The 16738-nt window shown below is 39.0% G+C and overlaps 1 protein-coding gene across 54 annotated transcripts in view; it reads right to left on the minus strand.

The window, feature by feature from the left end:
- Positions 1-16738, minus strand: part of ZNF438 (zinc finger protein 438) — a 187780-nt gene that overhangs the window by 144952 nt on the left and 26090 nt on the right. For 11 of the 54 annotated variants that reach the window (XM_011519373.4, XM_047424736.1, XM_047424735.1 and 8 more), the window contains exon 1: positions 9755-9937. The exons of 41 other annotated variants lie outside the window; for them this stretch is intronic. The gene's annotated coding sequence lies outside the window, so the exon portion shown is untranslated. Of the gene's footprint in view, positions 1-1571; positions 1901-9754; positions 9938-16738 lie in introns of those variants that run through there. 2 more of the 54 variants (XM_047424723.1, XM_047424747.1) reach the window with 1 other exon arrangement.

Raw genomic sequence — 16738 nt, forward strand, 5'->3', positions numbered from 1 at the left:
TGAATAAACTAAAGTCTCAGAAGACATCTCCAGTCCTAAATGTGATTAAGGGGGCGAGAATGTATGCAAAAATATGGATTTTAATGTTTTGAGTAGTATTGTGGTGTTGTCATTCTGAGACTGTTGTGTGTGCACTATAGGATGAAAATACATAATTGTAGGACTTTCCAGTTCTATAAGCACTCATATCCTTGAAAACAGAGGAAAGAGATACAGAAAGAAGATTTAAACACACTATCATCTCCACCATAGTCTCAAGTTTGAATTGGAAACACCAATATAAACTTATGAAATATTTTTATTTTATCTTCAATATGTGCACATACTTCTGATCTCTGTCTACAGAAAGGGCTGAGAGAAAACATGATCACCCCTTAAACAGTAGGGCTTCTAAGAGAAATAGCTGAATCTAGGACTCAGGAGCTAAGTTTAAGAGGCTTCCATTGGCCAAAGATGGAATAATTTGAGCTTCAGTGATGGTAATACTTGAAATGAATTAACTAATACGTTAAATTCTAAAAGTTCATAATAATATTCTTAAAAAACTGGTCACCTTTAAGAGATGATAGAGAACCAATTCATTATCTTAAGAAATATATCAAAGGGAAAAAATCAAGAATTTATGTTACCTGTCTTTTGAGAACTCTGGGTAACTGAATAAGAAATAAGGACATGTATCTCTTTATAAAAATATTCCAATGAATAAATGAAAAAAATAAAAAGAATTAGAATGTTACTATTTTTCAAACCTTAATGAACAAATAGATACAAATAATATGCATAAATGGCTGCTAAGATCACAAAAAAAGATGCAACCAAACATTGACAGTAGGTTATCCAGACCAGCAGCCTCAGCCTCACTCAGATACTTGCCAGAAATACAAACCCTCAGGTCCAACCTCCAATCTCCTGAATCAGAAGGTTTGGGCATAGGACCCAGTAATCTGCATTTTATTATTACAAGCCCACCAGGTGATTCAGAGGTATCCTAAACTTCATTAAATTCTATGTATAGAACTGCCAAAGGAATCAAATCTGAGTCTGATCCAGTTCATGGACAGCTGCCAATTTATAGGAATTATAGAGGTCAGAGAAACGTGTGGATCTACACCACAAATACGCACACATTAAAATCCAGAATGTGGGAAATTCTACAGATCAAACCTCCCAGGTTCTTCAACAGGTAAACTGTATGAAACTTAAAGGGATGGAGAAGGAACGTAAAGATTAAGAATCTATAAAGTAACCTGTATAGATTAAGAGAGATTGAAGATATATCTTTTTTTTTTTAATGAGCAAAACCAAGAGACAACTTCCAGAATGGAGGAATGAAGAGTGCCATAGAATTTCTCCCCAACAAAAACAATTTAACTGGAAAAAAAATTGTTTAAAACAACCACTTAAACTGGAAATTGTTTGAAGAGTATATAATAAATGGAGAAACATGCATTCAAGAAAATATTCTAAATCTTGGTAAGAGCCTGTCAGTGGCATTTGAGCCATGACCTGCTCCCACCTTACCTCCCCTGCACCTCCAAGCTCTGACTTATGTCTTAGTCTGTTTTACTTACTCGAGAGCTCTAGTCCAGAAGGTCCGGTCAAGAATATGGGGGCTCCTTTTCCCCTCAGCTCCCAAGCTGGGGCTGCATTTTCACCCTGGTAGAACAAGCCACTGGCACTGTTCATTTTCCCTAGCCCTCTATGGTAGAGTTTCTATTCTGTAGAGGCACAGCTGAGAGGGCCAGGGCTTCCTTACTCTAGCCAGCCCTCATTTGTGGGGCAAAAGTTCTACTCTAGGTGCAGCAGGCTGAAAACACTGGGCTTCTATCACTCCTGGATCAACTTGCTGGTGGGGCAAAGGTTCCATATCCATAGGGGCAAGCCAAGAAGACAAGTGGCTAATGCCCATGCTCCCAACACCCTTTTATAGCAGGGGTGTCACTCTGGAAGAAGTGAGTCACTATTCCTGCCCCCAGTTTCTGTGCAGTGGTGCAAGGTTCTACCTGTGGGGAGATGCAGACTGGAGACAGCAGCCCTTAAGGACAAAAAGTTCCTCTGCTCTGTCTGAGGGAATTGACATAGTTAAGAAGGTGCTCATGGCCCCAGGATACAAGCAGCAACCAACAAATTAGGACTATCAGAAGTTTAACAGAACTAGAAAAAGAGACAGCCAGCTCACAGTAAACACAGAGGTCAGGAAGGCTGTGCCCAAGTGGGAGGCTGCATCCACTTGAGCAATCAGAGCTTGATATGGGCACAAGCCACACAGATCAATTAAAAAAGGAAGCTTCACTGTCACTCGGGGGCTGAAGTATAACCTCTGATCAAACAGTGGCTGAACAATAAGCTCTTCTGCCCCAAGATCAACTCCTAGGAAGCCAGGCTTTAATATGAAAGTATCCCTGGCAGTTTACTAGACTGTGGGCATGCTCAAGGCTTGCTTCGCTCAGGAGTGACTGGGAATGAATAATCCAAGCTACTAATCTATGGCTGAACATGGGGCAAAACAAACTTCTTGCCATCTGCAAGACCCTTGCCAGATGTTAGTACCTTACTCTTGGACTTCCCAGCCTATACACTGTAAGAAATAAATTTATTTTTTGGTATTCTGTTATAGCAACAGAAACAGACTGAGACATAAAATTGGTACCAAGACGTAGGATTTTTGCTATAATATCTGAAAATGAAGAAGTGGCTTTGGAACTGGGTAACGGGTAGAAGCTGGAAGACTGTGGAGGAGCTGGATAGAAAAAAACCTGCATTGCCATAAATGGAGCATTAAGGGTGATTCTGGTGAAGGTTCTGAAGATGACTAGAGAAACTCTGAATCTTCTTTTTTTTTTTTTTTTAAGACAGTCTTGCTCTGTCGCCCAAGTTGGAGTGCAATGGTGCAATCTCAGCTCACTGCAACCTCTACCTTCCAGGTTCAAGTGATTCTCCTGCCTCAGCCTCCCAAGTAGCTGGGATTACAGGCATGCGCCACCAAGCCCCACTAATTTTTGTATTTTTATTAGAGGAGGGGTTCTGCCATGTTGGCCAGGCTGGTCTCAAACACCAAACCTCAGGTGATCTGCCTGCCTTGGCCTCCCACAGTGCAGGGATTACAGGCGTGAGCCACCGTGCCCAGCCTGAATCTTCTTAGAGATTACTTAAGTGCTCATGACCAGAATGTTGATAGAAATATGTAAAGGTCATTCTGAAGAGGCCTCAGATGGAAATGAGGAGCAAGGTACTAGAACTTGGAATAAAGGCCACACTTGTCACAAAGCAGCAAACAGCCTGACACGCCTCAAGGCTATGTCCATGCCCTAGGGGTTTGTGGAATGCTGGACTTGAGAGTGATGAACTAGCATATCGAGTGGAAGAAATTTCTAGCAGCAAAACATTCAAGATACTGTGTGGTTACTTTTTGCTACTTACAGTGAGATTTGGGAGCAAAGGGATGACAAAGACAGAATTTATAATCAAATGAAAAGCAAAGTGGAAAGATTTGGAAAACTCTCCTCAGGCTGGCTATGTAGAATTTAAAAAGCTTGTTTAGGAAAGGAAACCAAGAATGTGGCCTAGCAACCATTTGCTAAAGAGATTCATATTGATACAAGGGACCCAGAGGCTATTCATCAGGACAATTAGAGAAAGACTCCAAAAGGCATTTCACACATCTTCAAAGCTGCTCCTCCCATCAGAGGCCCAGAGGCCTAGGAGTGCAGAATGGTTTTGTGGGAGCCCATGGCATCCATGGCATTCTGCACAGCCCGCTGTCCAGGACTGCCTCAGGACTCTGCTCCCTGCACCCCACAGCAATGCTCTGTGGCTGCCCCAGTCATGACCCAAGTAGCAGCAAGTGTGGCTCAACTCACCACTCTGGAAGGCACAAGCTATAAATTTTGGTGGCATCCACAAGGTGCTAATTCTGCAGCTGTACAGAATGTAACAGAAGTGGGGCTATGGTAGTTTCACCTAGATTTCAAAGGATATACCAAAAAGACTGGTGCCCTGGCAGAGACTTGTCAACAAGGGTAGACTCATTGCTGAGAGCCCCTCGTAGGGCAATGCCTAGTGCAGCCAGAAGCAAGGCCGCAGCAGAGTCCCCACTAAAGTAATGCCTAATGGAGCTGTGGGAGCAGGAATGCTGCTGAGATCCCAGAACTATACCACCAGCATGCAGGTCCAACCTGCGAAAGCCACAGGCACCCAACTGTAACCTACAAGGGCTGACATATGGACTGAGCATAGTAAAGCCACGGGGTGGAACCACTTGAGGCCTTGGAGGCCCAACCCTGCACCCGTGTGCCCATGATGCAGGACATGGAGTCAAAGGAGATTATTCTCCAGCTGTAAGATGTAATGCTGTTTTCCTTGTTGGGTTTTCGTTTTACATGGGATCTGTTACTCCTTAATTTTTTCCTGTTCCTCCCTTTTGGAATGGCAATGTCTGTCCTACGCCTGCTCCACCACTATATTTTGGAAGTAGGTAACTTATTTGATTTAACAGGCTCACAGCTGAAAAGAATCTGCCTGAAGGCAAATAACACCATGTGTCTCACTCAAATCTGATTTACATGAGACTTGGAACTTTGGGCTTTTGAATGCATGATAGAATGAATGAAGACTCTGGAGCTACTGGGATGGAATGAATGTATTCTTAAACACCAGAAGGACATAAATTTTGGGTGCCCAGGGTGGAATGCTATGGTTTAAATGTGTTCTCCAAAGGTTCACCGTATTGGAAACTTGGTCCTGAATGCAGAAGTATTGAGAAGTAGTACTTTTAAGAGGTGACTGGGTCATGAGGGTTCTGCTCTCATGAATGGATTAGTAGATTAATAAGTTACTGGATTAATGGGTTATCACGCAGGTAGGCTAGCTATCACAAGAGTGCATCTGTTTATAAAATCCAGTTTTGTTCTCACTCATGTGCCCTCTCAGCATGTGATGCTCTGTGCCACCTTGGGACTCTGTAGAGAATTCCCACCAGCAAGAAGGCCCTCACCAGAGGCTCGCACCATGCTCTTGGACTTCTCAGCTTCCAGAACCATAAGAAATAAATTTCTTTTCCTTATTGGTATTGGTCTTTGGTATTCTGTTACAGTAACAGAAAATGGACTAAAACAGATGCCATTAGGAGAAAAAAGAGGCAGAAATAATACTTAAAGAAATAATGAGGCTAGGCATGGCGGCTCACATCTGTACCTCCAGCATCTTGGGAGGCCGAGGTGGGAGGATTGCTTGAGCCCAGGAATTTGATACCAGCCTAGGAAACATGGTGAGACCCTGTCTCTATAAAAAATATTAAAAATTAACCAGGCAGGGTGAAACACACCTGTAGTTCCAGCTACTCAGGAGGCTGAGGTGGGAGGACTGCTTAAGCCTGCAGTGAGGTAGAGCCTGCAGTGAGCTGAGATCATGCCACTATACTCCAGCCTGGGTGAGAGAGTGAGACCCTATCTCAGAGAGAGGAAAAAAAAAAATGAATGAAAAAGAACAAAAAATAAATAAATAATGGTTGAAATCTTTCCAAATTTGATAAAAGAAAAAGAAATATGAATCTACACATCCCCCAAGGAGCTCAACAAATTCTAAATAGGATAAATACAAAGAGATATACTTCCAGACACATTACAGGCAAAATCTTGAGAGCCAAAGACAAGGAGAAAATCTTGAAAGCAGCAAGAGCAAAATGACCAGACAAGTACAAAGCAGCCCCCAATACGATTAACAGCTGACTTCTCATTAGAAACAAGGGAGGCCAGAAAGCAATGGAATTAAATATTCAAAGTACTAAAGTAAAATACTGTGAATTATGACTCTAATATCCAGCAATACTGTGTTTTTAAAATAAAGGTCAAATTAAGGCATCCCCAGAAAAATAAAGACAGAAAATTTGTTGCTAGAATATCTGTTTCACAAGAAATACTAAAGGAAATTCTTCAGGCTAAAAGCAAGTAACACCAAACAGTAATTGGAAGCCCCAAAAAACAAAGCATGCCAGTAAAGGAAATTACGTACATTATTGCAAAAGACACTGTAATTGCATATTTCTTCCCCTTTCTTCTCTTAACTGATTTAAAGAATAATTCAATAAAACACTGTAGCTATAATTTAATTATTGGGCTAACAACATTTACTGCTATACATTTAGACAATAACAGCACAAAAGAAGCAGGTGAGAACAAAGTTCTTCGGGAGTAAGAAAATGACCCCAGAGCTAACTCAAATATGCAGAAATATGTAAAGAAAATAAAAAATAGAGAGGTCAATACAACTAACTATAAATACGTACTTGCTCTCCCTTGTCTCAGCTTCTTCAAAAGACATAAAGTAAAAATTACAACAGTGTGTTGTTGGGTTTGACATAATAGGTACATCAATAATAGCAGAAAAAGTTGGGGAAGGAAATGGAGCTAACAGAGGAAGTCTATTTTGCTGAAAGTAAGTATAAATCAGAAGTGAAATTCTTATAAATCGGGATGTACACTGTAAACCCTGGAGCAACCACTAAGAAAATAACTCAAAATATATATTTTTAAAAGTAGCAAAGGAATTAAAGCATCACACTACAATATATCTACTTAATTCAAAAGAAGGCAAGAAAGGAAAGAACAAAAAAGACCTGAGACCTATAGAAAACAAAATTCGTAACTGCAGACAAAAATCCAACTATATCAGTAATCACATTAAATGTGAACAGATGAAGCAATCTAATCAAAAGAAAGATTATCAGGCTGTATTTTTATAAAAGAAAAAGAACAAAGATCCCAACTATATAAAATCTACAGAAGACACATTTTAGGTTCAATCATACAAATAGGTTGAAAGTAAAAGCTATACCATACAAACAGTAAACATAAAAGAATCAGGCAAAATACATTTTAAAGCAAGAATATAATACTAGAAATAAAGAGAAACACTTCATAATGACAGAAGGGTCAATCCATCAGGAAGGTATAACAATTAGAAGCATATATGCACTTAACAAGAGAAGGAAGAAAAGACAGTTGAAGGGATACACAATTGAAAAATAATAATTGGAGACTTCCCTCTTTCAATACTAGATAAAACCACCAGGAAGAAAATCAACAAGAATACAGAAGATTTGAACAACACTGTAAGACAGCCAGACCTACAGACAACTATATAACACTCCACTCAACAAGGCAATATGCATTATTAAGTGCACATGAAACATTTTCCAAAAGAGACCACATGCTAGGCCATAAACAACCTTCAATAATTTAAAGAGATTAATCACACAAAGAATGTTCTCTGAAACAATGGCATGCAATTAGAATACAAATCAGTAACAGAAGGAATTTTAGGAAATTCACAAAGATGGGAGGGAACCACACTCCTAAATAACCAATGGGTCAAAGAAATCAGAGAGAAAATTAGAAAATACCTTGAGATTAGTGAGAACTAAAACTCAACATACCAAAATTTATTGGATACAGCTAAAGAAAATAATACCCAGAAAGACATTTGTAGCTATAAATGCCTATATTAAAAAAGAAAGATCTCAAGTGGATAATCTAATCTTCCACCTTAAGACAGAACCTACAAAAAGAAAAGCAAACTAAACCTAAGCAAGCAGACGGAAGGAAATAATAAAGAATAATGTACAAACAAATGAAACAGAGAATGGAAAATCCAGAAAACAAAGACACTGGCAAAGGATTTGGGAATCAGGTGGTTATTGCTGTTGATAGAAAGGAAGGTTCTTATTAGGAGGAACAAAATCCAGATTGCAAGGAATTTAAGGAATAAATGGGAGGGGAAAAAAATGAAGGCAGCATATGCAGACTCTTCTTTCAATAAGCCTGAAGAAAAAGAATGAGAAGACTGAAAATGAACGCAAAAAGAAATTATTAACAAAGTCTTCTAAGAGGCAGAAAGGAATTAAAGCTCTAGGCAAATAAATTGGCCTTGGAAGATACGGCAGACACTAGTGGTTGCCTACCTAGTCTTCCCTTCTTTCTGAATAACAAAATCCTATTTTTTTTTTTTTTTTACCTTGGGAGGAGTGAAGGGCCATGAATCTTGACTAGTCTAAGCCAAACACAGGACTTCCGTACCCCTCACCACTGACTGGCTTAGAAACGGGTATAGGATGCAATTTTAGCTAATGAGGTCATGTTTTCTAGGAGGCTTCTAAGAAAGTTTTCTTCATTTTAAAAAAAGACATAAGAGAGACACCTTCTTTTCTTACAGTCATGGGTGCTTTGATATGAGTATGTCATTCTTGGAGTTAAAGCTGCCATCTTGAGATGAGGAGGGGAAAAGTCTGAAGACAAAAGCCAACTTATCAGGATGGTAGAATGAAAAGACAGAGCCAGAGAGTCTGATGATAAGAGTTAGCTGCTATATAAGCCAACAAAAAAACTATCTTTCTTCCAGATTTCTAGTTATATGAGACAATAAAATGCAGTTATTACATACGATACTTTCAGTTGGGTCTCTGTCACTTACCAGCTGAAAGCATTCTAACTGATATAGAAAGAAAGATACTTTCACAAGACAGATGTGGATGAAATTAACTTTGCATGTTGGAGATAAGGGAATTTGAGAGTTTCAGCCTAAAGTTTCATTTATTAAAGAAAATGAAACTCATATAGATCCATTTTACAAAGGGAGTGACCTTAACAGCTGCTGTTTCTTGCTTTAAAATATCAAGTATTGGCTGGGCGCAGTGGCTCATGCCTGTAATCCTAGCACTTTGGGAGGCCGAGGCGGGTGGATCATGAGGTCAGGAGTTTGAGACCATCCTGGCTAACACAGTGAAACCCCGTCTCTACTAAGAAAAATACAAAAAATTAGCCGGGCATGGTGGCGGGCCCCTGTAGTCCCAGCTACTCAGGAGGCTGAGGCAGGAGAATGGCGTGAACCCGAGAGGCGGAGCTTGCAGTGAGCCGAGATCACGCCCCTGCACTCCAGCCTGGGTGACAGAGAGAGACTGTCTCAAAAAAAAAAAAAAAAAAAAAAAAAAAAAAAAAAAAAAAAAAAAAAATCAAGTATTACTAATGATAACAATAGCTAGTAATGAAGACGATTATGATCATAAGCTCATGGTTATTAAAGTATTTTTAAAGCTAGGTATTTTATCCTTTATTGTTTACCTTCTGCATTCTATTTGACTTCAATAGTGAAAACACACCGATCTCTTTTACTTTCTGTTTATAACAATTTTCATGGCAGTTTCATTTTTCATACTTTCATGGTATATAACACAGTATACCATGATATAGTTTACAGAGGGAATCCTTAACTTTGAAGAACAAACACTTTGAAAACTAAACAATTTATAAAAAGATTTCTCTATTTCCATACACTTTCTGAATCTGGTCAAGAAAATAAAACAACATTTCAACTGCATCTGTGCAATGATAGCTTTGATTCATATCAGAAGACGGAAAATCAACACTGTAGCCACATAGATACATACCAGAGAAAGCACACTTTTAACAGAAATAACAAAAAACACTAGAATTGTGCTCTTATCCAAGCGGTTCCCAAATGGAAAAAAAAAAATCTGAAAGTTAAATTGTAAGACAGCTTTTGAAGCCCAAAACATTTTTCCTATAGAAACAACATTACTATGAGTCATGTCATTACTAGGCCAGTCCATAAAAGCCTTGTAAAACCATATGCATAAGACTGTTGTTTGAACTATACCAAAGTAGAATAACAGTTTTTCCTTGGGAAAATACATCATTTTCTCCCTCTTCTCTCTACTAAGTCCCAGAGGAGTGGGCCTCACCAGGGGCTCTGTTCACCTCTCGGAGCTCAGCAGTCATCTCCCTCACTCTGACACTCCATGGTGAGCCACACTGAACTTCTCCAACCTGCAGGGCCTCTCCACTCCAAGTCATTACTGTTATGACCTTCCCTTCTTCTTCTTGTAGGTCACCACCACTCAGCCTTCTGGTCTCAGCTTAATGCTACTTCCTCAGGAAGGCCATCCCTTGTCTCCACACTGAGTCATGTGTTCCTGATGTGTGTGCTCTCACATGACACTATACTTTCCTAACACAGCATTTGTCAATCTCCCCCATAAGCTCCACTGTTTCAGGGATTCATTTCATTTGCTATTAATGTTAAGGTCAGAAGACTGCCTGGCATTTTGACGATTCTTTACACATATTTATTTATATGAATGATTTCTCATAAGATACTTTAATCGTTTTTAACTTGATCTATGGTCATTACCAAGGAAAAGGGGGGGTTTCCAAAGAAGACTTCTCCTCCCCTCAATTTACACCTAGAGATTGTTCATAGGGAGGAAGCTACCTATCCAATTTCTTTCCCATTGCTGGTTTATAGTCACTTAAATGGACATTAAAATTTTAGCAAATAGGTATATTTTCTTTATTTGTCTTTTTAGAAGATGAGGCCTTTGAATGATGAAGGAATAGGTATATTTTCTAATATTAACTTTATCTCTTTTTTGTAGGTAATGTCACTCATTCTCATGACTTTTATGTCGGCAACGAAATGCTTATTCCCAAATTTGTGTCTCTATGCTTGATTTTTCTCTCAAGCTTAGAATCCAAACTTTCAGCTGTCTACAATTTTTATACCTGAATGTCCCACAAAAACTTCACCCCATCCCCCTGCCCAAGCTTTCTTTTCTCTGGTATTCCCCATTTCAGGTATTTCAGATAATGACATCACCATCTAGCCAGCGGAGTCTCACACCCACGTTATCTCGTCCTTGTTAATTATTCACTGGACCATGGCCTAACAGTGTTGGCATCACTTGGGAGCAGAATCTGAGGCCCCACTGCCAGACCTATTGAATCAAAATCTACCTTTTAACAAAATCCCTAGACAATTCACATGCACATTAAAATCTGAGAAACACTGATGTATAATTCCTTTTTCTCTCTACCCCCACAAAACTCTGATACCAAGTCTACATAGGCAAATATATTCCCTCCCATCCATTTCTGTTATCATGGCCCTGATTAAGCCATCACTTCCTGTGGTGATGTGGAACACTGCAATGGCTTCTTAGCTGACCTCATTCCTGTAGCCCACTGTTCACCCAGACTTTTAGAAGGGACACTCTGATGTACAGCTATGAGAGGGCATATGGTTGGCTGGCCAGAACTGTGCATAATGTAAAGCCTGTCCTATCTATGTTACAATTTAAAATCTGGGGATGCTCACAAAATTGTCACATAGAAAAGCATGCAAAAAAAAAAAAAACTTTTCTTGTGTTTCCTTGTTATAATCACTGATCTCAATTTTCTTTCCAAATACAAACCTAATCATGTCATATCCCTCTCCAAAATCTTTTAGTGGCTTCTGAAGACATCATGTATTTCTACACTTCTACCTTTCTGTTCATGCTTTTCCCCTTTTCTCCTATCCATCTTGCAAAAATCTTGCCCATCTTCTAAAGTCCTGTTCGAGAGTTATCTTACCAGAGAACAGTCATCTCATCTCACCAGCCCTCTTAAGAAATAACTGCTTCTCCATTCACTCTACAACCCATTGCACTCATTACAACACGATTACAACACTCATCTTGCTGTATGAAAGGCCCATGGATGTCTGTCTTTCCTGTCAGACAAGGACTTCCTTAAAGGAATTCTGTATTTCAGTCATTGGCAGATGGTAGATACTCAAAAAATGTTTTAAAAAAACAACTACCATTTATATTTGACATTATTAAAAGCTGTAGAACTCATCGCTGATAATGTGAATGTATTTACAAACTATAAAATACTAAGTACCATATCTTTCAAGTTATATGCACCCAGGCACAGTAAAAGCTCAAAAAATGCTTGGGGACCTAATTCAGTCACATAAATGCAGCTATCCTTAAAAGCCCACATTCTGGGGAGGCCCACCCTATTTCCTGAGAGTTCAATCAGATAATTGGACAGGACACAGAGAGGTTAATTCTGATGAGAAGAGAGGGAGGTCAAGTGTGCCAACTGATTTTAAAAATTATATATTGTATCATAAAGATTGTAATAAAGAAATAAAAGTTTGTTACCTATAACTTTAAAATATTTAAAAATTCATTTTCTGCATATTACCTTTCTAATGCAGTTGAAATTACACTAAACATATCATTCTGTATTTGGTTACAAAATTTTGCCATAAGTTACACTTATAATTGCACTTTAGTGATCATGTTATTCCATCACCCTAACATATTGTAGTTCATTAAAACATTCACCAAAATCCAATAATTTAGTTCAATAGTTATTGAATAATTACTTGTATACCAGACCCTGATGCAGGGCCTGACCAGTCCCAACCTCAAGAACTCCCCAGCCAAGTGGTAGGGACTGATTCATACACCCATGGCTGCAATACAGTGCCGAATGCAAATCAGAGTGCTCATTGGCAGGGCTGAGTAAGAAGGGATGCCCCCAGGATCTGAATGCTGCTCTCAAGAGATGGAAAGTCAACAGAAAGAAGAGGGGAAGGACTCATAAAGATGAGACGTAAGAATTTAAAATGGCACAGCATGTTCAGGGAAAGGCAGTGGCTGGGAGTAGCACAAGAAACACATAAGACTGAATGGGTCCATTTCCTTAAAGCCTCTCCAGAATTGTCAGTTATTTTAATTTTCAGTATTTTCGAAAGAATAGAAGAGATAACTCAAGGTTAACTTAAAAGGCATTTCTTTGATTACCAGTGACGGTAAACATAATCCCACCTTTTTATTAATCATTAACTGCTAAAATACTTTGTTTACTTATGTATTAAAACTTCTTCATTAAGTTCGAGAGAACTTCCTCTTCAGATATTATAGATATTCACCCTTAGTCACATTTGATACAAGCATTTCCTCCAGTGTGTTGTGTGATTTTTTTCATTGTAAATAAACCTTACATTTTATATGTTCAAAACTATTAGATCTTTTCCTTGGTGAGTTTTCCCTCTAATACTGAGTCATCAATCCTTCACAAATCTGAATATTGTTCTATTTTCTACTACTTTTCAAAAATACGATTAAAAAATATTTAGCTCTTGATACTAGCTAGACCTGATTTAAAAAACATGATGTGCATAAACATTCACATACAGGCCATTATCCTCCCTCTTCCAATCCTACTCCCACTCCCTTTGCTAAGATGGCTAGGGAATGCCCTTTCATCCAAACTCTTAATTCATTTTAATTCAGGTTCCCTTATATAACAATACGGAGAAGAGAGCAGCTAGAGCATGTGTCCTTTGCAGTGTCTTTAGAGATGGCCCTGAAATGGCTATGACCCCTACAAAAGAATTACAAAGTAGTATATTAAGGTACATAACATGGACAGAAAACATTTATGGGATGTATCAGCAATAAACATAGATGCTAATTTAAAGTACTAGTAGATACCTTCTAAGTCCCCAAACAAGTAATGCAGGTTTTCTTTAAGGGCCTGGAATGTATAGCCTTTTGACTAACTTCCTATTACAGAAGGCAGTTTTCAAATTAGCAAAGGGGGCTCAGTCCAGTGGTATACAGGTGAACACGTCTGACTCCCATGGGGAGTCTGGAAATGTGGGGAGGCATTTTTTAGATGTCACAATGAGAGAGCACACTATTGCAAGTCTTGAGATGTGTAGGGCAATCTTGTACAACAAAAACCTGTCCCATCCCAAATGCCGATAGCCACCTCACTTCAGCTAAGGGCCTTCCAGCCCAAGATGATGTGCTTCCTATATTTAATGAAGGAAACACTCCTGACTTCCAATTGTTCTATCTACCCTGCCACCCAGTACATGTTTTACCGTGGGAGGACCAGCCCTAAGTAAGATTGTGAGGTAGAACAGGTAGTATTGGATGTCTTGCTTACTCTTCCCGTTGGGTCCCTTGTTTTAAAACCCTGTTCTGGCCTGAATCCCTTCAAGTAACATCCCAGGAAGTTCTGGCTTGGAGGAACCCAGGAACTTGGCTACTGTCTTCTCATTCTGACCCACCAAAACCTGTTCCCTGCAAGTTCTTAGAAAACATCTGAAAAACAAAGCATACTCTGATACTAACCTCATGAAGGTACAAGTGCATTCTTCTCAGGGCTATTTGTGTTTAAGCACTAAACTAAAGATGCCACTCCTTATCATATGCCCTACTACCATCCTTATACAAGCTACTACCATTTTTCACTGTGATTACCACAGTAGCCTCTTAACTGGTCTTCCTGCTTTCAGTCTTCCAAGTCATAGTCTATGCTCAAGAAAGAGCTGATCTACGTGAGATCATGTCATTTCTTGGCCCAAAACTCTCTGGTGGCTCCCTAGTTTACTCCAAATAAAAGCCTCCAATGGCTTTTATTGGTACCTCCAATGCAAGATCATAAATAATCTAAAATCTGAAAATCTGGGGGGAGAGCATATATGGAAGAAAAAACAAGAGTCCATTTTGGTCACATTAAATTTGCAATGCCTAGGAGACATTCAAGTGGAGATGTCAGAAAGGTGTTATCCCCAGATCCTCAGAAGAGAACTTCAGGCTACATAAGTACTTCTCAATGGGGGGTGATTTTATGCACCCAGGAGACATCTGGCAATATCTGGAGACATTTTGATTGTCACAATAAGGGTAGAGGGAACTCTATTGGCAGTTAGAGCATAGAGGCCAGAGATGCTGCTAAGCATCCTACAATCCACAAGACATCCCCTGACACTGAAAAAATTTTCCAGCCCAAAATGTCAATAGTGCTGAAGATGACAAACTCTGGGCTAGAGATAATAAGACTTACACAAAAAGATTATATTTAACCAAAAGTACAAGATGAAAAACAAGAGAACTAAACCTTTCCTCTTTTAGATGTCAGGTAACACAGAAGACAGAAAATGGTCAACTAGAATGGGAGAAGGAAAACCAGGGAAGGGTTTGTCTCAAAGGCCAAGAGACAAGTGTTTCCAAAAGGAAGCAATGGTCAATTGTGGTCAACTGCATGGAAAACTGCTAAGACATCAAATAACACTGATAGGGGGTTAAAAGGTTTGAGAAGAATGAAGGCAGTATGCTGTGAGGAGTGAGGGAGTGAGATAATAGACACGTCGGAAGACTGCTGGACAATTTTAAGGCTGCTGAGCGTATCATTAAAGTGAAAAAACTGGCAGGTAGTTGAGCTCATCCAGTTCTGAGATTGGAGAGACCAAAGAGGTACAAAGGAATTGAAAGAATTTGCCGGAAAATAATTTGAATCAAAGCATCTAGGCTGGATAAGGAAGGAACTGGTAACAGAAAGGAAGTGATAAGTAGAAATGTGGGGGAGGGGGCTGGAAGTCATGATGAGTCATAAATACTTTTCCCACATCAATAAATAAACTTCCTATATGCTTTTAACTGTTTCATAATAACATAGCCTATTTCTTGATATTATTAAGCAAATGTGATTATTACTTTAATAAGTTACCAGAGATAACAAGTGTTGGTGATGGTGTGAAAAAGAGAAACCTCATACACTGTTGGTGGGAATGCAGATCAGTGCGGCCACTGTGAAAAACCATACAGAGGTTCCTAAGGAAATTAAAAATACAACTACCATATGACTCAGCAATTCCTCCAGTGGGTAGATATCCAAAGGAAATGAAATCACCATCTCATAAAGATACTTGCACTCCCATGTTCACTGTAGCATGAGCCAAGATTTAGAAACAATAATAGCCAAGATATTGAAACAACCAAAGTGTCTGTCAACAGATGAATGAACTGTGAGTTATGTGTGTGTACATATGTGTGTGTGTATATATATATGTACATGCACGTACGTAAATGGAATATTATTCAGCTTTAAAAAGGAGATCCTGCCATTTGCTACCACATGGATGAATGTGGAAGACATTATGCAGAGTGAAATAGGCAAGACACAGAAAATGCATGATTTCACTTATATGTGGAATCTTAAAAAAAGAAAAGAAAAAGAAAGTTGAATACTTAGAGAACAAAATGATGGTAAACAGGGGTGGACGGGGGAGAAAATGTGAAGATGTAGGTCAAAGGATACAAAGCTGCAGATACGCAGGATAAAGGGGTCTCGATGTCTAATGTATGACATGAGGACTATGGTTAATACTGTACTGTATTTGAGATTTTTGCTAAAAGAGATTTTCCTGCCACTAAAAAGAGTAACTATGTGAGATGACTGATGTTAATTTGCTTGACTGTAGTATCCACTTCACTGTGTGTATACATCAAAACATCATATACGTTAAATATATACAATAAAAAAATAGGTATTTACTATTTGAACAATGCTCATCATCCTATTTACTTTTCCTAAGTAGGATCAAATGGTATTTGTGGGAAAGATCATGTTATTGTGAAAGATATGCATATATGATAAATAACAGATCTGGGTTAAAATATCAGCTCTTTCATTTATTATGTTGTGACCTTGGACAACTTACTTAATCTCTCTGAGCCTAAATCTCTTCAGCTTATTAACAGATTGTGGTACACAGAATATTGCCTCCCTCAAAGGATGTCCATCCCTTATTCCCTGGAATCTCTGTCTACCCTATATTACATGGTATGATATTGTGAAATATATATCTGGTCTACATCCTCATTTCCTGGCACACAACTGCTAAAATCCTTAGAATCTCCAAAGTGATGTCTTTTGTATGCTAATGAGTGACTGATGGCTGGCAGTCCCTGGGTAGCTTCAGGATGGAGGCTGGACACTAGAAAGACCAAAGCTTGATTAGAGGGTTGGGACGTTCAGTGACACCCTCCAAGCTCTAGGAAGGGGAAAGGGTCTGAAAGTTAAGTTGATCACCAACA

Source organism: Homo sapiens, chromosome 10 (assembly GCF_000001405.40).
Source record: "Homo sapiens chromosome 10, GRCh38.p14 Primary Assembly".
NCBI lineage: Eukaryota > Metazoa > Chordata > Mammalia > Primates > Hominidae > Homo > Homo sapiens.